The following is a 21,268-nucleotide window of genomic DNA, read 5'->3' on the forward strand; positions in this document are numbered from 1 at the left end:
TCTTGATATTATCTGGACATGAAAACTGCCTATATGTGGTTTGCAAATATTTTCTCTCATTCTGTGTCTATTAATTATTTTCTTGATGATTTCCTTTGATGCACAAAAGGCTCACATCTTGATAAAGCCCAATTTATCTTTTTTTTCTCATGCTTTTGTATCATAGCTAAGAATCCATTGCACATTTGAGGTCATCAATATTTACCTCTATGTCTATTTTAAGATGTTTTTATGGTTATAGGTCTTATATTTAACTCACTGATCAATTTTTTAGAGAATTGTTTGATATGGTGGGAGGTAGAGTTATCTAAATTCACTGTTTTGCATGTGGTTATCTAGTTGTTTCTGCATTATCATTAGAAAGGAGAATTGTTCCTCCATTAAATTGTCTTGACACACTCTTCAAAGAGTAATTGACCATAAGTGTGAGGGTTTATTTCTAGGCTCTCAGTTCTATCCCATTTGTCTTTATGTCCATTCTTTTGCCAGCAGCTTATGTCTATTCTTTGCCAGTAGCTTCTGTTTTAATAATTGTACTCCTTTGTGAGATTTCAAATAAGAAAGTTCAAGTCCTACAATTTATTTTGGCAAGATTGTTTTGGCTATTCAGGGGTCCTTTTTTGAAAGGTGGGGAGGCCAATATTTCACAACTGGGAAAGCCGTTTCTGTCTTCTTCAGGGGGAAATTTGGGAGAACATTTTAAGAAACTTTATCTAAGTAGGTAAACTGTTACCACTTTATTTGCTGAAGTGCTACGTTAAAGTGTGCATTGCCTCTTGTGGAAGAATTATGAGACCCTGGAAGCACTAGCCCACATGGTAAGAGACAGTGAATTCCACAATGAGGGGCAGAGAGGATGTTGTTTTGGGATACAATGTTGTTGGGGGAGTGGTATACATCTCTACTTCTTTATGTCTCTGTATAGTTGGTGTAGGGACCAGCCACACAAGGTCAGTGGGTTTTTCTCCCTGTGTGTGGAGATGAGAGATTGTAGAAATAAAGACAGAAGACAGAGATAAAAGAAAAGACAGCTGGGCCTGTGGGACCACTACCACCAAGACACAGAGACCGGTAGTGGCACCGAATGCCAGGCTGCACTGACATTTATTGGATACAAGACAAAGGGGCAGGATAAGGAGTGTGAGCCATCTCCAATGATAGGTAAGGCCACAGGGGTCACATGTCCACTGGACAGGGGGCCCTTCCCTGCCTGGCAACCAAGGCAGAGTGAGAGAAGAGAAAGAGAGAGAGAGCTTACAGCATTATTTCTGCTTATTAGAGACTTTTAGTACTTTCACTAATTTGCTTCTGCTAACTAAATGGCAGAGCCAGGTGAACAGGTTGGAACATGAAGGTGGACTAGGATTGTGACCACTGAAGCACAGCATCATAGGGAGACAGTCAGGCCTCCAAATAACTGCAGGTGGACCTGACTAATGTCAGGCCCTCTACAAGAGGTGGAGGAGTAGAGTCTTCTCTAAATTTCCCCAGGGAAAGGGAGACTCTAAGTAGCTTTCCTGGTCTGCTAAGTAGCAGGTGTTTTTCCTTGACACTGAGGCTACTGCTAGACCAGGGTCCGCTTGGCAATGGGCATCTTCCCAGACGCTGTCATTACCGCTAGACCAAGGAGCCCTCTAGTTGCCCTGTCTGGGCATAACAGAAGGCTCACACTCTTGTCTTCTGGTCACTTCTCACTATGTCTCCTGAGCTCATGTCTCTGTATGGCCTGGCTTTTCCTAGGTTATGATTATAGAAATGAGGATTATTATAATATTGGAATAAAGAGTAATTGCTACCAAGTAATGATTAATGATATTCATATATAATCATATCTAAGATCTATATCTGGTATAACTATTCTTCTTTTATATTTTATTATACCGGAAGAGCTTGTGCCCTCGGTCTCTTGCCTTGGCACCTGGGTGGCTTGCCACCCACAAGTGGGCATCTCCGTTGGACACAGTAGGTTTTGAAATCCTTGTTTATCCTCTGGGGTCTGGGTCTTGGCTTACCTGTTAGCTGCAGCTGAAAGAGGTGTCTGCTAAGGCATTGCCACCTGTGGTGAGAAGAAGGGTTCAGCAGAGTGAAAGTAGCTGGGGCTCAGAGAAACCAGGAAAGTCTGACTCTTAGAAACTATGGGTCAGCAGATGGGTGTCCTCAGGGGTAAATGGGCCATGCCAGTAGACATTGCAGTGGACTGGAAGAAGGTAAGGGATGCCAGGTATCCCATGTTCTGTCTCAGCTCTGCAGCTGAAGATTTGGGCCATGGGCTTGTACGGCCCTGCAGCAGGGGAAGGGTATAGAGGAATGGCTGCATATCAGGACCAAGTCCATGTCATCTTCTTAGGCATTGTTACCACAGATGGAGGATTCTGTTCAGAGACTGGCCTGGACACATGGGAGGGCCCACCCCATTCTTTTAAAATTATTTTAAGAGAACAGTATTAGCAAAGGTGGTACATGTTTTATTCTGCTAGAATGTCTTACTGTCACGTTTTACAATGTATCTCTTAGGAAACGGCAAGAGCCATCCACACAATGTGGATTTAAAGGGGACTCTATTATAATTTCAGCTTTCCTACGTCTTCATACAAACCATCTTCTCTGCAAACACACAGGCAATATCTCTGTGTTCATTTCTATTGGGAGCCCTGTATGCAAGGTGGAGAGAGCCACATTTCCCCCTGAGATGTTATGTAAAAGTTTGAGGTTGAGATGACATATCTGACACTCTGTTGTTACTCTCAGAAGCTACTACATGTGAAATTCTAATGACTGCATTATCCTGCCAAGTGAAAGAGGCAGGCATGAGCAAGGACAGTTAAGAGGGGGGAGAGCCTCATCATGATGGGGAGTCTTGTTCTGACATCTTGGGAAAAACTGTCCACAGTGTGAAGTCATCCACTTGTTGTCCTGGTTTACAGTTTGAGCATCTGTTGTTATGGTGTCGAATATTTTGGTGAGTTCTGAGTGGCTCATGCTTCACGTACAAGGGTTTTCCCATGAAATTTACATTGAGTTGTCCACCTCCAGCTTATAGGGCTTCTGGAACAGAGTGGGTCTTGCTCTTAGTGATTCCATGGGAGAAAATGGAATTGGAGGTACTAGTAGAATTCAGGGAACTGTCCAGTCTACAGGTGGATAATAAAAACACAGAAACAATGAACAGAGCTGCAGTCTCATAACAGGTATACTACAGTTTTTATTTTCCACATAATTTTTCCCTCTATGGGCATCTCTACTTTTACCAATGATAATTTCAGTAGAATAAGTTTGTTTGCAAAATAGGTGGAGTTTCTTCAAATGTGGTCTGATTGTTTACATAAGTGCAGCAAGAGTAGCAATGGACCATGTAGGCTGTCTTCTAAAATTTTCTTTTCTCTAAGTTTTTATAAGGAATCTGAGATTAAATCTTCACAAACCTCTTGAGAATAGGAAGCCAAACCAAGGCTGACTTCAGACTTTGCCTGCAGTTCATATTGGTTCATTCTATCTATGTTTTTAATATAACATCCGAATCAAAGCATTGGTAATATAACCAATGATTTCAAATGTGTCATGTTACAAAGAAAGCAGATTGTTACTGTACTTGTGCAAATATGTGTATTACCATAAACATATCAATTCTCATGAATAGTTGCCCAATTCTGGGGCAGTCAGGTAGAAAGCAAAAGTAAATGTTTCAATTACGGTTCCCAGAAGTATAGTTTATTGAACTGCTATAAGCTGTAGATAGATTAAAAGAGAAAAATTCCATCAATGTAGAAAACAAACCATTTAAAGAATCAGCAAATTTTCAAATAAAAATCATAAAAACATTATCTTCATTATTATCAATTATTTCAATGAAATCAATGTTCTTCCTGCTTGGTCTAGGCTGGGAATATTATGAAGATATCAGCCTGTTTGTTAAAGTTTTCGAAGTTCTTAGACAAATTTGGAGGGTTCAGGAGGAGAATTTGGGATTTGCTTGTGCCCATGGGACACAGGCTGGGAATACAATTGTTTTCCTGACTCTTCTCTGAATGCCAGATAGACTCCACCTAAAACCCTATTGCCAACGATGCTGGGATCCACTTACCAGAGACTTCGACTGTCATGGATTTGGAGCTTTCCTTGCCAGTGGCTGAGTTACGAACAGAGCAAACATAGAGCCCGCTATGCTTTGTAGTAATATGGCGGATAAAGAGCTTTTGTCCTGGTAGCTGAAACTTTTCATTAATTGTCCAAGAATACTGTGCCGGTGGGTTAGAGTCCGCAGAACAGGACAAGTAGAGGACTTCTCCTGAACGGTAATAGGTGAATGAAGGGTAAATTCTGGGGAGGTCTGGACCATCTGGAGCAAAGAGAATAAAGCCACAGGTGATGTCATCTGAGGGAAGGGGATGTTCCTGGTCTCTTAAAGGGACACAGTGACCCTCTGAGCCAAGACACACCCTCAAGTCCCAGCCCAACCCCCTCTATGTTCACTGAGCCGAATCCTGAGGTATTCCCCTGTTTCTCCCATCACAAGCTGTGGGCCCCAAGTCTCCCATGATAAGAGCATCCCCTCCCCTTATATTCTTGGTTAAGGCTGTGCCTACCCAGGATTTCCCAGGGCAGGGAGTCATGGCCAGCTCCGATGTCCAGAAGTAAAGGTGTCTATACTTGGACCGGAGAGAGACTGAGAGGCCTGGCATCTGGTGGTTTGGATTTAAGCTGGTGTCCTGGCCCACAGAGGAACAAAAGATACTCACAGAGGACATTCAGGGTGACTGGGTCACTGCGGATGCCACCATATCGGTCCCGTATTTCACATTGATAGGGTCCTGTTTCATTTCTCGTGACACTGGGTAGAATGAGGATCCTGTTTTCAATGGGTCGCTTTACCCTGGGACTGACCGGGAGGCTCTGACCATTTAGCCACCAAATGTAGGTGTAGTTCTCACTCTTAGGTTCACAGGTGAAGTTTAAGACATCCTTATTCTCCCTGGGGTTTAAGTTGTTGATGGTGATGTAGGGCTTGGGCAGCTTCGCTGTGTGGATAACAGAGAGAAGATTGTCCTGTGTGGCACCTTTGATTCCTCCACAGGTATCCTTCAATCAGAGTTGGCATCTCCCACCTCTCATTCCACCCGAGTCCTTGAAAGCCAATAGCTGGTGCTTTTGTCACAAGATAGATGCATGATGATCTAAGGGCTCAAAGACTGTGAGGCCGCCTTCTCTGTCTTAGGGAAGCACAGACTTTCTGAAGTGTCAATTGAGCAGCAGTGTTGGGTCATGGACAGACACGTCAGTGGGAGTCACAGCCCCTGGTACCCTTCCCAGGCCCTCCCTAATCAGTTGACTGGCTGGCTCACCTTGGGTTCCTTACCTGGAATATGCAACTGCTGGGCCCCTTCCAAATTCCATCCTACTTTGTCCCCCTAGATGTGATTTCTCTGCAGCTTCCATTTCAAAGGACATTCTAGAGATGAGTAATAATGGGACTTCCCTTTGTCCTGCAACCCTGAAGATACTGAGCAGCCTGGCCTGGGACTGGATGTTTCAGCAGAAATAACACAGGGGAGACCAGAATCAAGGCTGGAGGTCAGTTCAGTCATCAGGCAGTGGAGGCTCAAGGTGGGGCAGTTTTTTGCAGGTGTTTCATGATGACTTACTTGAACCAGTGACCTCTAAAGATAGAGCAGAGTGCAAGGAATGATCTAGAAAGAGTGAAGGGGACAGGCAAGAGCTGGTGGCTTTGGAGCAGAAGCATGTTCCCTGTCTTGGGTTCTTTAAGTTTCCTCTCCTTCTGCAGAGGGCAGGTGAGGACCATGTGGATCTTTCCAGAAATACATGTGGACATTTGCAAATTCAGAACTGACTGGTAGAAAGGGTGGGAATGAACTGCTGGAAATCTGGTCCTCATGAACCATGTGTGTTTGATGGATATGAGACAAATTTGGAGAGAGGTTTTGCAAATATTTTATTTCATTGGACATTCTACTCTCTGATTCCATGGGTTCAACTACTCTAGGGACCTCATGTAAGTGGATTCCAGAGTGAATATGAGAAGAGACTGCTGGTTGTCAGGAGCTGGGAGTGGGTAGAATCAGAAGTTGTTCATGGGTGTGCAGTTTCAGTTATGCAAGGTGGGGAGGTTCTAGAGAACTGCTGTAGAGCTTGATGCCTATAGTTCACACAGATTGAGTATTTCTTATGCATAAGACTTAGGACAAAAAGTGTTTTGGATTTCTGACATTTTTTGATTCTGAAATATTTGTCATATACTTACTGGTTTAGCATCCCAAATCTGAAAGATTCAAAATCTAAAATGCTCCAGTGAGCATTTCTTTTCAGCATCAGATTAGTAGGCAAAAGTGGGAGGTGATAAGCCAAAGATATTCTTGCCCTTTTTTTTCTCTCACCACGTTTCTAGCTTGGTGATCAGTTTTCGGTGAATTCCACAGTGGCCATGCTGCACTCGTATATTTTTGAAGGCCTTGGGATGTGAGAAAGGCTGATTGCTATTTTCTATGTCATCAGAACTTTCCACCTTTTCATGGTTACCTCTTTTTCTCAGTGTTTGTGTTGTGTCAGTCATTAATAAGAGCCTGTCATGTGAGATTTAGGACAGTGTTTTCTAATTCTGCAAAAAATGTTACTGTGATTCTGGTAGGGGATGCATTGAATCTGCAACTCATTTTGGGTAATGTTGTCTTTCTAACAATATTGATTCTTCCAATCCATGAAAATGAAATGTCTTTCCATATATTGATATCGTCTTTAATTTCTTTCAGCAATGGTTTGTAGTTTTCAGGGTATAATCATTTGACTTTTTTGGTTAAACTTACTCCAAAATATTTTATTCCTTTTGATGTTAATGTGAATTGAAATTATTTCCTTAATTTCCTTTCAGATTGTTCATTGTTAGTGTATAGTCTAAAGAATGATCTAGAAAGAGTGAAGGGGACAGGCAAAAGCTGGTGGTTTTGGAGTAGAAACATATTCCCTGTCCTGGGTTTTTGATTTTCCCTCTCCCTTTGCAGAGGGCAGGTGGCTCTTCCCTGATAGCTAGATAGACTTCACTGGAAAACATATTGCCAATGCTCCAGGGATCCACTTACCAGGGACTATGATCCTCTTGATTATGAGATTTGTTCCACCAGTGGCTGAGTTATGGATGAAACAGACCTAGATCCCTGTATATGTTTTAGTGATTTGGGGTATAAAGAACACTTGTGTTGATTGCTGGAACTTCCCAGCAATCAGCCAAGAATGCTCTGCCAGTGGATGGAGTCTGTGAGGCAGGAGAGCTTGGGGACTTCCCCTGTATGGTAATAGGTGTATGAGGAAGAAATGGTGGGGGCATCCAGGCCATGTGGAGTAAAGAGAATAATGTCACAGGCACTATTGTCAGAGGGAAGGGAAAATCCTGGTCTGTGGAAGGGCCACAATCACAGTGACCCTGTGAGCCAAGTCACAACATTGAAGTCCCAGCCAAATCCCCACTGTGTTCACAGATCTGGAGCCTGAGACCTTCACCTGTTTCTCCCATCACAAGCTGTGGACCCTGAGTCTCCCATGACAGGAGCAGCCTCTTTTCTCCTATTGTTGATGAAGCCTAGGTCTACTCTGGTTTGCCTGGGGCACAAAGTCATGGCCAGGTTTGATGTCCAGGGGTAAAGGTCTCTGTATTGGACCTGAGAGGGACAGAGAGGCCTGGCCTCTGGCCACGTGTATTTGGGATGGCAGCCTGGCTCACAGAGGAACAGAAGATACTCACGGAGGAGATTCAGGGTGACTGGGTCACTGCGGCTGGCACTCACTGGGTTCCGTATTTCACATTCATAGGGTCCTGCAGTATACTTTGTGACACCCAATAGAAAGAGGGTCCTGTTGGTTTCGGACAGCTTCAAGCTGTGAGTCATAGGGAGGCTCTGACCATTCATCCACCACAGGTAGCTTGCGTCTGGAGTCTCAGGGTCACAGGTTAAGCTCACAGCCTCCATGGTCTCCCTGGGATTTAAGTTGCTGCTGGAGATGGAGGGCTTAGGAGTCTCCACTGTGCAGAAAACAGGGTGAAGATTGCCGTGTGTGGCGCCTTTGATTCCTCCAAAGGCATTTTTCAATCAGAATTGGCATTTCCCACCTCTCAGCCCACCCAAGTCCTTAAAAGCCCATGGCAGGTGTGTGTGATACAAGACAGATGCATGGCAATCTGAGGGCTCAGAGATTGTGAGGCTGCCTGCTTCATGTGGGAGAAGCACAGACTTTCTCAAGTGTGAATTGAGCAGCAGCATTGGGTCATGGAAAGACACAGGACCAGCAGTCACAGCCCCTGGTGCCTCTGTGTGTCCCTCCGTCTCCAACTGCCTGCCTGGCCCACCTTGTGGTCCTCACTTGGAGCATGCAGTGCTGGAATCTTGTTAGTTTCAGTCTCACTTTGCCCACTGAGGTATGTTTTCTCTGCAGCTTCCCTTGCCAAGGACATCCTAGAGATGGATGATGGAACTTCCCATTGTCCTTAAAACCTTTGGGTACTGGAAAGCCTGGCCTGGGACTGGGTATTCTAGCATAAAACAGGGGAGACCAGAGTCAAGCCTGGAGGTCAGTTCAGTCATCAGGCAGTGGAGCCACGAGGTGGGGCAGTTTTCCCAGGTGTCTCATAGTGACTGAGTTGAGCTAGTGACTCTAAAGATAGAGCAGAGTCCAAGGAATGACCTACAAAGAGTGAAGGGGATAGGCAAGAGCTGATAGCTTTGGACCAAGACCATGTTCTCTCTTCTGGGTCCATGATGCTCCCTTCCCCCTGTAGAGGGCAGTTGAGGACCATGTGGATCTTTCTAGAAATACATGTGGATCTTTGCAAATGCAGAACTGACTGGTGGAAAGGGCGATCATGAACTGATGACGGAAGTCTGGCCCTCATGGACCATATGTGTTTGGTGAATATTAGACCAATATTTGGGAAGAAGTCTTGCAGATACTTTCTCTCATTAGACATTCTACTCTCTGATTCTGAGTTTGACTACTCTATGTACCTGATATCAGTGGATTCCAGAGTGAATCAGAGAGTAGAATAGTAGTTTGCAGGAGCTGGGATCAGGGGAATAGGGTGTTGTTCCGTGGGTGTGCAGTTTCAGTTATGCAGGAAGAGGAGGTTCTAGAGATCTCCTGTACAGCCTCATGCCTATACTTCATACAGATAAAGTGCTCCTTATGCAGAAAGCTTGAAACTAAGTGTTTTGGATGTCTAATTATTTTTTTATTTTGGAATATTTGCAGTACATGTACTGGTTTAGCATCCCAAATCTGAAAAATTTAAAATCCACAATGCGCCAGTGAGCACTTCTTTTTAGCATCACATCAGTGGTCAGAAGTGTTGAGTTTTGAGCATTTCAGATTGTGGATTTCTGGATTTCCGATGCTCAATTTGTAACAGTGTAATTTTTCCGTAAAAATTTGTCAGGAGTTTAGACCTCATGTTATATTCTGACTCTAGTAACAAAAAAAATTTGGAGGAAACATTAAAATGTTTTCATAAGTGGAAATTTTTACTGATGGTCCAAACATCTAAGATCAATTGCTGGTAGTAGTATTTCTCTTGAGACCAAAATAAGGTTTAGGTGTGCCGTGAATTCCAGCAGGATCACGTTATGCTCAAAGAAAGATGCCAAAGGTGATTTGAAATTAGCAGCTCCTTAAGTAGAGAGAGTCCCATTGAAAGGACCGAACTGGTCAGTGCATCAATTACATAAAGGGAGAAAGGATGTCAAATTAAAAGAAGTGATGTGTGTTATGTTAGTAAATATAGAAAGAACTCCCTGCTTCTAAATTCTGTGCAGAGTTAGGAAAAATGGGGAGGACCTCAAAACAGGTATGTGAAATGCTTTCTTCATTTTCTCTTAAGCTCAGGAAACACCACTAGAGTTTAAGTTTGTGTGAATTAGGAAGAGTCTAAGTGAGATGGCAATGGCTCTTGTGTCTCCCCACACGAAGATCTCCAACTTATGAAAATGACATCATCATGAGGAAACAGTTATAGGTGGCACAGGCAGTAAAACCATCAGATAACACCCACCTGGTCAACTCCAACTAGTCCCCAAAACCACCGGTATTCCCATTACGTGTACATTACAGTCTTTGTAGTTGTCCCACAGCTACAAAATTTAAAAATTGCTATTGTCAAAACAAAATATTAAATATGAAGTTGAATATGTTGTTCCACTTTTTTTCCCCACTCTTTTTGAACTTTCCTGTTTCAGTTTTGGAAGTTTCTGTTGACACATCCTCAAGCTAGGTATTCTTTCCACAGCTGTGTGCAGTCTACCAGTAAGCATCAAAAGCATTCTTCATTTCTCTAACAGGGTTTTTTTTTTCTGAGACAGAGTCTCGCTCTGTCACCCCGGCTGCAGTGCAGTGGCATGATCTCAGCTCACTGCAAGCTCTGCCTCCTGGGTTCACACCATTCTCCTGCCTTGGCCTCCCAAGTAGCTGGGACTACAGGGGCCCGCCACCATGCCTGGCTAATTTTTTGCATTTTTAGTAGAGACGGGGTTTCACCATGTTAGCCAGGATGGTCTCTATCTCTTGACCTTGTGCCCGCCTCGGCCTCCCAAAGTGCTGGGATTATAGGCGTGAGCCACTGTGCGCAGCCGTCTCTGAGGGAGTTTAATGAGTTGTTGCCTTTTGAGTTTGTTCAGCTTTTTACTTAGTGTTAGAACCGAGTGACAAATTTCAAGCTTGTTATACGCCTGTCAGGAAGCTAGAACTCTCTAGAAAGTGACCGGAGAATGTGAGCTCCATAGCAGGTTGAGGATGGCGTCATGAGTGAGGATGGGGTCAAGAGTCCACTCAGAGATGGAGTGCCCAGCCATCTCTGAGGGATTTTAACAAGTTGTTGACTTTTGAGTTTGTTCAGCTTTTTACTTAGCGTTAGAAACCAGTGACAAATTTCAAGCTTGTTATATGCCTGACAGGAAGCCAGAAGTCTATAGGAAGTGACTGGAGAATGTGAGCTCCTTAGCAGGTTGAGGCTGGAGTCACAGGTGAAATGAGCCCATGGGGTTTGGGGACAGCAGGCCTGTCCAGCCTCTGACACCCTGGTGAGTCAGTGCAGAGATTACAACAGTGACAGCAAACTAGCATGGCTGACTCCATCTGGCATCTAGTCTCAGGCTGGCTGTCCTCACTCATTCCTGGGCATAGGCCAGGTTAACCTTGGGAGGAATTTAGTTTATGGTTTAAACTTGAAGCAAGAATGATAATAGTTCCTCCATAAAACTAACACCCTTACTTTGTCCAGGGACTGCCTTTGTAAAACTAGTGAAAGACCATGAGATTAAGATTATAGGAGGGAACTGAATTTTGCTAAAATGTAGGCACAGTTTCTATAATCCCTGACTGCTCCAGTGTCATTGGGACAGGGTTTACAAAATTTGTAACTAATTGCTCCTATAGATAACATCACTATTGTAGAACGTGAGATTGGTCTTTTGAGATGTTTCTCATTCTTTTGCATTCTGGCAACCGGCTGACCTCATCCATACCTATGACTAATGGCTCAGCCAGTCATGTGGTCCCTACCTAGAGGCAGATTCAAGCACAAACAGATCATGTCCCCCTGCCCCCATGATTCCATCACCAAACAATCAGCAGTACTAATTTTTTAGTCCTGTGGCCCTGAAACTATCCTTGAAAATCTCTAAGCCCTGATCCACTGGGGAGGCTGATTTGAGTAATAATAAACCTCTGTCCTCCTGTTTGGCAGACTTGGAGTCATTAAAATCTTTCTTTACTGCAAACCGCCATTTCAATTATTTTATTTTATTTATTTATTTGTTTTTTTTTTTTTTTGTGCAGGAGGCCAGAGGAACTTGTCTGGCAATTATGAGAGTGGATGGAGGAACTGCCTATCCCTGTCCCATGGTCTTGTCCACAGGTCAGCCTCACAAAGGGAAAGAGCCCTGGATGGGAATACAGTGGAAGGTCATTCTCTTAGTGACCTGGGGACATTGGCTCGAGAGGAAGCCTGGCAGGAGTGGCAACTCCAGATGATTTCTGTGCCTTTCCTCTTTCCTGGGAGGTGGGCCAGGCCACAGTGTTAGTGGGAAGGGAACTGAACAGCCAGAGTGGTTAGAGGGAGTGTCTAGGGAAGGCCTAGAGGTGGAGGAAGAAGCTGTGCAGGACAGGGCTTGCCAGTCAGAATGAAGTGGGAGGAAGATGAGGGACACAGAGAAGCAGAGAGAGGCAGATACACCATGGCAGTGAGCAGTGAGGGAGACACTGTCTTCAGAAACTCCAGGGACCAGGTGCCCCCAGTTCCATAGTCCAGGACCAAGGAGCCCTCGAGAACCCTCCGGTGGCTTAAGAGCTTCAGAATTACATGAGGTGGGGTGGCTTTAGGGGCAAGAGGTAGTGGGGGGATGAAACATGGATGTCAGCCTCTGAAGGACAAGGGACAGGTGTGGCTAGAACCTCCTAGGATTCTGCATCCAAGATCCAATCTCTAAAGAGGTTTTGGATCATTCATTTCTTCATTCCATTCCTTCATTTGTCATGTGAGAGCTCCTGAGTGTGTGTCTCTCTCGCTGGGCCTGTGGTGGTGTAGAGTGTGAGTGGGGAAAGAAAACAAGGTCCTCTCCTTGATCCTCTCATGACAGTGACAAGGACACTTTGGGAAACACAGGATTTCAGGTTCAGTGATGGTGGTTAAGATCTGAGGAGGAGGCCTGGACATTTTTTTGCACTGACTCTGATGGTTGAAGCAGGTGATTTAGTTCTGGAGTGCAGACTAATCAGCTGACCATTTGCTCTCACTCCTCTGAGGTTTGGATGCCTAAGAAGAGAGGATTTGAGCCAACAAATGACTATGGGGTGCTTGGAACCCAGTAAGCCCTCACTTCTGGTGGAGTAGAGGATGGGCCTGTGGCTACAGACAGACCTCATGTGACCCTGATCTCCCCTTTGTGTTTGTGTGACTCTTGCTCAGTCACTGTGCCTTCCTGTGCCTCAGTTTTCTCTCAATCAAATAAGCTAAATGGCAAATGGACTGTGGCTTTTCATGCTATCTGTGAATAAATGTTAAATTATTCACAGTCACCTGACCTAATGCTTGGCACAGTGGAGGTTTCACACAAACAGCATTTATTATTAATTTGCTTCCATGAGAAAGCACCTTTACGTCAGATCCCTGTGGACAAGCTGCTACCTGGTACATCTTCTCTCTTCTGTTTCTGCTTCTGGGGACATTAGTCTTTCTATGGACTATCCTAAGCCTCCTAAGGCAGTTGGGTGATGGCCTACAAAGCTTGTCTTTCTGTCCTCTCCACTCTGAGTATCAGGTGAAGAAAGCTCTGTCCTGGCCCAGATGAGGCTCTGAGGGCTGAGCCCTGGCTGGTGAACAGCTCCAGGAGACACAGTCCTCTGACAGCTGGTAAATCCTTGGTCCCAGTAAGCCCTGCCCAAGAAGCCACAACCCAGTCCCAGCACAGGCTCCTCAGCTTTATCTGGAACAAGGATTTAGGGACAAGGGTCTGGGGTTGAGGCTTCTAGGGCTGAGCTTCTCTGAGAGTATCTCAGGGGGCCCCTCAGGCCAAGCCCTACTCAGTTATCCAGGGTCTTTCTCAGGGTCAAATTTATGAAGAGGGCATGAGGTGCTTGGCTGAGACTGATCTCCTCCTGCTGAGTCCCCCCATCAGACTGTCCTTCCTCTGCAGCGAGTGTCTGCAGGGTCTGGATGCAGGAAAGGAATTCTGATCTGTTGAAATTTGTCTCCTCTGTGTGTGTCCTGCACTAAATGCCCAAATCCCAGCATGGGACATAACGCAGTGAGTGACACAGGCAGAGTCCAGGCCTGACAATCCTGTGTGTGTGAAGTAGAAGTGACCCCTGTCCCCCAACACCCAGGGATCATGTGGAATCACTTACGGTGTAAGGTGAAGGTGAAACGTCCAGTTACTCCTCTAGTCCCATCATCTCCCTTTATGATGTGTAAGGTGTAGGATCCTGCGTCCTCCCGGGTGACATTCTGGATCAGCAGGGATGCATTGGAATATGCTGTTTCTCGTCCACTATATGCAGGCCCATATATAATTATTTCACCGTCTACTACATATGATGTAATGTAATGGTAGAGGTCCCTCATTTGCCCTTTGTACCAGATGTAGCCGGTAAGATTCTGGGGCAAATTGTGGACAAGTAGAAGAACATCCTTCCCCTCGGAAACTTTGGTTGGCTCGGCTTCAATCGTGACTTGGGCAGTGGTGGGCAGGTTCCAGAAGTTTAAAAGTGATGCTAGGAGGTGGAGAGAACATCAGTCAATATTGAGACCTATGTATTGGTGTGAAAACATGGGGCCCTGGGTCCTGAGAAGGTCTCTTCAGTCCTCAGCCTTGACAACACAGACACACACACACATACAAACACACACACACACACACACACAAAAGCGGCATGTGTGATTGTGTGTGTGTATGTGTGTGTGTCCTACTGTCCTACTAGGTCAAGGTCAGCAGCATGACGCCCATTCCTTCAACACTTCTGACGTTGGCATTTTTCTGTTTGGAATCCTCTTCCCCAGGGGTCCGCATGGCCCCCTCCACAATGCCCTCAGGTCCTGCTTACATCAGGGCATCGTTAGACTTCTTTCCTGATGCCTGCTTCAGAGACCCTGGGTCTTCCCTTTCTGACCTTTCCCTGCTCTGCTCCCTCCAGGGTTCTTGTCAACACCTGACCTCACATTCTAGATCTCTTTGCATGTCTGTCTTCCCCCCCATGACAGCGTGAGCTCCGTGAAGACAGGGACTTTTGTGATCTTGGTTGCACCCCAGTGCCTGGAACAGGCTGCAGACTCCTGTAGATGTGAGAGTTCTCAGGGCCCTCCATGCCCTGGGTGTTTTTTTTCCCCCAATTGTTGAGGTTTCTTGCTGAGGACAGTGTTTCCTGCCCTGTTTATATTTTTATTTGAGGTGTCATCTGCTATAGTTATTATTATCATTTTTCAAAATATGGTGGCCCCTGATGATTAATCAGGAAAACAGAACACTTAAGATTTTCCTACCTCTTACCAATTCCGGTCCAATACGACTTTCCTGTTTTGACCCCTGTCCCTCTCTGGTGTATTTTCCCCTATCCAGGCTCCAACAGAGCCTTCTTTCCTTTTTTTCTTTTTTCTTTTTTTTTTTTTGAGATGGAGTCTTGTACTGTCGCCCAGGCTGGCATGCGGTGGTGCTATCTCAGCTATCTGCAACTTCTGCCTCCCGGGTTCACGTGATTCTCCTGCCTCAGCCTCCCGAGTAGCTAGGATTATAGGAGCACACCACCATACCTGGTTAAATTTTTGTATTTTCAGTACAGACAGGGCTTCACTGTGTTGGCCAGACTGATCTTGAACTTCTGATCTCATGATCCACCCACCTCAGACTCCCAAAGTGCTGGCTTCTTTCATTTTTTAGAACCCCATCCTCTCCAGGAGACCCCATCCAGTCACTCTGCTTCCTCCTCCTGTCCTCTCCCAGGAAGTTCTCTCCTCACCTGTGAGCAGGAGCCCCTTCCATTTGATGCGCTGTGTGCAGGGAGGGGCTGAGAGGGTTCCCATGGTCTCTGCTGCTTGTGTGTTCTCCTCTGTGGAGATAAGCCTAGGATCCAGAAACTCTCTGAGCACGGCTGTCAGCTGTGCTGTCCTTCCTCTTTCTGTGCTGAGCCTCTTCCCAGGGCAGGAGCAATTCTCAAGCTCATGGGCAGGGTCAGGCCCAGGACACCTCTCTGTCCCCTCCTCTCTAAGTCCTGCCTCCTTGTCCCTCCTTCTGTTTCTCCTTTTGTCTGTGTTTCAGGTCCCTGGGAATTGTGGCGGCCTCTGCCTTTTTCAGCAGTGATTCTTTCACCAAACCTCAAGACACACTTTGTGCAGACACACAGACACACACACACACACACACACACACACACACAGAAGAGATACACACAGACCCACACAGTCAGACACATACCCTGCAGGTTGGGCAAGAACAGTCCTGGGCCTCAGCCTCCTGGTGTCCCCATGGCTCTGGGTCGGGGTGCAAATTAACGCCCTTTGGCCTCTTTCATCCCCATCAGGCTCTCCCCTTCAGTGCAGGAGGCTGGAGCTGTACCAGGTCCCTGTCAGAATGATGCCCCATTGTGCTGTGGGTGAGCTGTGTGTTGCCTGGTGAGAGGGACCCTTCCTTTCTCTAATCATGTCTAGCTTGGCTGCAGCTTCCAAGGATGGACATTCAGGACCTGGGTGTCCCAGAGGAAACTGTCCTTTCTGGCGGTGTGCAGGGTGAATCTCTCATGCCTCTTGGGAGGAGAGGCCTGTGCTGGTTGCTCAGTGGGGGCTGTGAGTCCCATAGTCAAAGGGACAGTTCTCTGTCAGTCTATGGCTCCCTGGGGTCTGGCGGCTGAGCTGGAGCTCATAGTTTCTCATGTTCTTCCTGACCATCTTTGATGTCCTCTCTTCTCTGCCCAGCTGACTGTCCTGTGGTCACCACACCTTCCCTGTGGTGGTGCAGGAGGAAGTGGGGAGTTACCCAGGAACCCTGCGGGACATGGCTCATTGAGATGCGGGAGGGGGAGCCTGGGACAGAGCAGGGGTTCAGAGCTGGAGAGATTCATCCCAACTTACTCCGTGGCCATGATGGGCTCAGCCCTCCATATGCTGACATACCCAGGGGTCTGTCCTGATGGTTTTGACCTGGCCAAGCTGCTGTGTGTAGAGGAGGAACAGGCAGTGGCCAGAGAGCCTGTCTGGAGGGACATTGCTCTCACCTGAGAGGGCGGGTGGGGGTGAGTTGTGTTCTGAGATCAAAGAGCAATAACATTCCCCTTCTTCCCGCAAGCACACAGGAGAGGTCTGTCTTCCCAAGGGACAGCTGGTGTTAGGTGGCCACATCCCGGATGGTGCCTGTGTGTGACCATCACACGCGCTCTGAGCCCCCAGGGTGCAGCGGGCAGGCAGGTCACAGGGTGCCTGGCTGATTCCCGGGGAGGCTGTGGGCCCTCAGGCAGCCGCTGTTCTGTGTCAGCGCTAGGCTTGGCCTGGGATGCCCCAGAGAACAGGACAGATGGAGCAGGGGTGGGCATTTAGGGAGCAGTGCCAGAAAGAGTTGATGAGGATGGAGGGAGGTCACGAGGGGAAAGCACCCGGTGTGGCATCGCGTGCACCAGCGCTGCCCTGGGAGATGCCTTTAGCTGGGCCCAGGGAAGGAGCAGGTGTGTGGGGAGGAGCTACCTGCAGGGGGAGTGGTGTTAGGTTGGCGGCCGCCAGGTCAGGGAGGAGCTGACAGTGTCCGTGTGGGGAGCATGGAGGGCGCTGAGGACTTGGGCAGAAGTGACCCTGTAGAGGGTGGACACTGCTGGGCTGTGGGTTCCGCTGAGTGAGGTTGGCATCCCCTGGGAAGACTCCAGGCTGGGAGGGACTCTGTCCCCCTCTGGTGGACAGGGAGGGAAGTGTGAACGGCAGCAATTCCAGGCCAGGATGCATGTTTTATTCCACGTGGATCTGCACAGTTCACACGAGGTCACACCTGTGTTATGTTACAGCCCCATCACCTTCCAGCCCCGTGAGTCCCAGTCTCTGTGGCTCTATGTTCACTGTTCTCCCTCTTTCACAATCAGATGTCCCAAATGCAGATTTTTGTCACCTTCTGTGAGTTTGTGTTTGTGTGCAGTAGGCGGCACTGTGTATACCCTGGGGGCAGTGATGTCTGGGGCTGAGCACTGCAGTTGGGCTTGGGAGCAGCAGGGTGGGAAGATCAATGTCAGGGGGGCAGGGACAAGTCATTTTCATTTTCTCACTCCCAGGGACCAGAACCCAGGATTCTGACTCCAGGGCAGAGTACCACACCCTGCTGGTGTCCCTGGATGTCATGATGCTCATAGTGTCATGTTGCCTTGGCATTCATTTTTTAAGGTGTAAGTTTATTTGCCTCAAATCAGAGGCAGGGCTTGGTCACCATGGCAGTTTTCAATACTGTGTCTGGTTCAAGTGGCTCCAGTTGGTGTCCAGAGATCAAATCTTAGAGACATCTCTCCTGCTTGGTGTGCTGGGCTCCCGTCTCTCCAGCTGCTTTCTTTAAACTGATAATTCTGACATTCGCCCTCACATTAAAAGTGACCACCTCTCAGTCACAGCGTGAGCTCCTGTTCCCAGTGTTTGCTGCTTGCTTTGAACACATCCATTAAAGCTCCCTGCTGGAAACCTGTCAGATAACACCCTGGACTTAATAAAGCCATTGGCTTACCGGTCTCTTCTCTCCTCCCTCCCTGGGCTCACTGACCTCTGTGTCTGTGGTCTCCAGGTGTGCCAAGTGCTTCCCAGTGTCTGTAAGTAGTAAAAATACTTACACTTTCACGTTGTGGTTGTATTGCTGTGGCCTCACATGCCATCCAGGGCCTGACATTGAGGCTGCCTTATGGGACCTGTGCTGGCTGAGCCCCTGCTGGAGCTCTTGTTTTGGGGCCTCTGGTTCTCTTGGGGACAGGAGCTTCCAGCTAACTTGATTGAAAAACTGATGCATTTCATTGAAAACACTGGGTCAGATGATGTATTCATAGGCTTCAGCTCCTATAACAAACACCTTAGCCTGGGTGAATTAAATAATAGAAATCTATTTTTCACAGTTCTGTGAATAATGTGCTATTTTAACCACTTTAAAATGCACAATCAATGAAATTAACCGCATACACCGTGTTAAATTACCATCACCAGTATTTTTCCTAGAAAATTGTTATCATTTTAAACTGAAACTTTGTATCTTTTAAACAATAACTCCCTGTATGTTCCACCCTAGGCCTTGATCACCTCTACTCTGTCTCTATGAATTTGCCTATTCTTGATGTTTCATATAAATGGAATTATACAATTATGTTATTTTGTTTCTGACACATTTCACTTAGCATAATGTTTTCCAAGTCCATGCATGTTCCAGCGGGTGTCAGAGCTTCCTTCCTCTTTATGGCAGATTATCATTCTGTTTTATGTGTCACCATATTTGTTTATTCATGTGTTGATGAACACTTGGATTGTTTTCATATTTTATCTTTTCTGAATAATGCTGCAATGAACATTCCCATGCAAGTACCTTTTTGAGTCCGTGGATTTAATTCTTTGGGTATATACCTAGGAATGGATGTTATTTCAAATGAGAATTCTATAATTAGCTTTTTGAGGAACAGCAATACTCTTTCTCCTAGCTGCTGTACTTTTTTATATTCTCACCAGCCATGTATGAGGATTCCAAATTCTACATAATGCTGCTACTTGTTATTTAACATTTTAAAAGAACGGTAGCCAGTTTTGTAGGTTTGATGTGGTGTCTCATTGCAGCTTTGACTTTGTATTTTCCTAATGACTAATGATGTTTAGTATCTTTTCATGTCCTTCTTGACTATTTGTATATCTTCTTTGAAGAAATGTATATTTGAGTCTTTTGCCCATTTATAAATTTAATGGTTTCTCCTTTTGTTACTGAGTTGTAGCTAGTTCTTTATATTATCTGGACATGAAAACTGCCTATATGTGGTTGTCAAATATTTTCTCTCATTCTGTGTCTATTAATTATTGTCTTGATAATTTTCTTTGATGTACAAAAGGCTCACATCTTGATAAAGCCCAATTTATCTTGTTTTTCTTGTTTCTCATGCTTTTGTATCATATCTAAGAATCCATTGCACATTTGAGTTCATCAATATTTACCTCTATGTCTATTTTAAGATGTTTTATAGGTCTGATATTTAACTCACTGATGAATTTTTCAGAGAATTGTTTGATATGGTGGGAGGTAGAGTTATCTAAATTCACTGTTTTGCATGTGGTTATCTAGTTGTTTCTGCATTATCATTAGAAAGGAGAATTGTTCCTCCATTAAATTTTCTTGACACCCTCTTCAAAGAGTAATTGACCATAAATGTGAGGGTTTATTTCTAGACTCTCAATTCTATCCCATTTTTCATTATGTCCAGTCTTTTGCCAGCAGCTTGTTTTAATAATTGTACTCCTTTGTGAGATTGCAAATAAGAAAGTTCAAGTCTTACAATTTCTTTTGGCAGGATTGTTTTCACTATTCAGGGGTACTTTTTTGAAAGATGGGGAGGACAAAGTTTCACAATTGGGAAAGCCGTTTCTGTCTTCTTCAGGGGGAAATTTGGGAGAAGCTTTTAAGAAACTTTATCTAAGTAGGTAAACTGTCACCACTTTATTTGCTGAAGTGCTATGTTAAAGTGTGCATTGCCTCTTGTGGAAGAATTTTGGACCCTGGAAGCACTTGCCCACGTGGTGAGAGACAGTGAATTCCACGATGAGGGGCAGAGATGATGTTGTTTTGTGATACAGTGTTGTTGGGGGAGTTGTATACATCTCAACTTCTTTATGTCTCTGTAAAGTGGGCATAGGGAGCAGCCCGCAGGGTCGGTGGGTTTTTCTCCCCGTGTGCAGAGACGTGAGATTGTAGAAATAAAGACGCAAGACAGAGAGATAAAAGAAAAGACAGCTGGGCCCGGGGGACCACTACCACCAAGTCATGGAGACAGATAGTGGCCCTTAATGCCAGGCTGTGCTGATATTTATTGGATACAAGACAAAAGGGCAGGATAATTAGTGTGAGCCATCTCCAGTGATAGGTAAGGTCACGTGGGTCACGTGTCCACTGCACAGGGGGCCCTTCCCTGCCTGGCAGCTGAGGCAGAGAGAGGGAGGAGAAAGAGAGAGAGAGCTTACAGCATTATTTCTGCTTATTAGAGACTTTTAGTACTTTCACTAATTTGCTATTGCTAACTAAACAGCAGAGCCAGGTGTACAGCATGGAACATGAAGGCGGACTAGGAGCGTGACCACTGAAGCACAGCCTCACAGGGAGATGGTCAGGCCTCTGGATAACTGCGGGTGGACCTGACTAATGTCAGGCCCTCCACAAGAGGTGGAGGAGTAGAGTCTTCTCTAAACTCCCCTGGGGAAAGGGAGACTCCCTTTCCCGGTCTGCTAAGTAGCGAGTGTTTTTCCTTGACACTGAGGCTACCACTAGACCATGGTCCGCTTGGCAATGGGCATCTTTCCAGATGCTGGCATTATCGCTAGACCAAGGAGCCCTCTAGTGGCCTTCTGTGGGCATAACAGAAGGCTCGCACTCTTGTCTTCTGGTCACTTCTCACTCTTCCCTGCTTCCCTCTTCCAACCACTTCTGAGCTACAAATGAGAAGGAAGCGATCTGATTAAACAGGTGATGAGCAGAGTCACGTTCTGAGGGGATTTGCACTTTTAAAAGGAGATTAATGACCACATCTGACAATG

General features: G+C 45.9%; 1 protein-coding gene across 7 annotated transcripts; it reads right to left on the minus strand.

Moving 5' to 3' along the window:
• Nucleotides 1–2,444: 2,444 nt before the first annotated feature.
• Nucleotides 2,445–15,694, minus strand: PSG1 (pregnancy specific beta-1-glycoprotein 1). 7 transcript variants are annotated; one of them, NM_001184826.2, is made up of 6 exons: nucleotides 15,499–15,694; nucleotides 13,894–14,259; nucleotides 7,748–8,026; nucleotides 4,737–5,015; nucleotides 4,082–4,336; nucleotides 2,445–3,045 (listed from the first exon to the last, which is right to left on the minus strand). In NM_001184826.2, the coding sequence occupies exons 1-6, from the start codon at nucleotides 15,560–15,562 to the stop codon at nucleotides 3,035–3,037; spliced, it is 1,254 nt and encodes a 417-aa protein (NP_001171755.1). In that variant the 5' UTR covers nucleotides 15,563–15,694; the 3' UTR covers nucleotides 2,445–3,034. The 7 variants fall into 7 exon arrangements, with proteins under 7 accessions (NP_001171755.1, NP_001171754.1, NP_001317453.1 ...); NM_001184825.2 differs by having other exon boundaries at nucleotides 2,445–3,131; NM_001297773.2 differs by lacking the exon at nucleotides 2,445–3,045 and adding an exon at nucleotides 3,185–3,726.
• Nucleotides 15,695–21,268: the final 5,574 nt, after the last annotated feature.

This window comes from Homo sapiens, chromosome 19 (assembly GCF_000001405.40).
Source record: "Homo sapiens chromosome 19, GRCh38.p14 Primary Assembly".
In the NCBI taxonomy this organism is placed as follows: domain Eukaryota; kingdom Metazoa; phylum Chordata; class Mammalia; order Primates; family Hominidae; genus Homo; species Homo sapiens.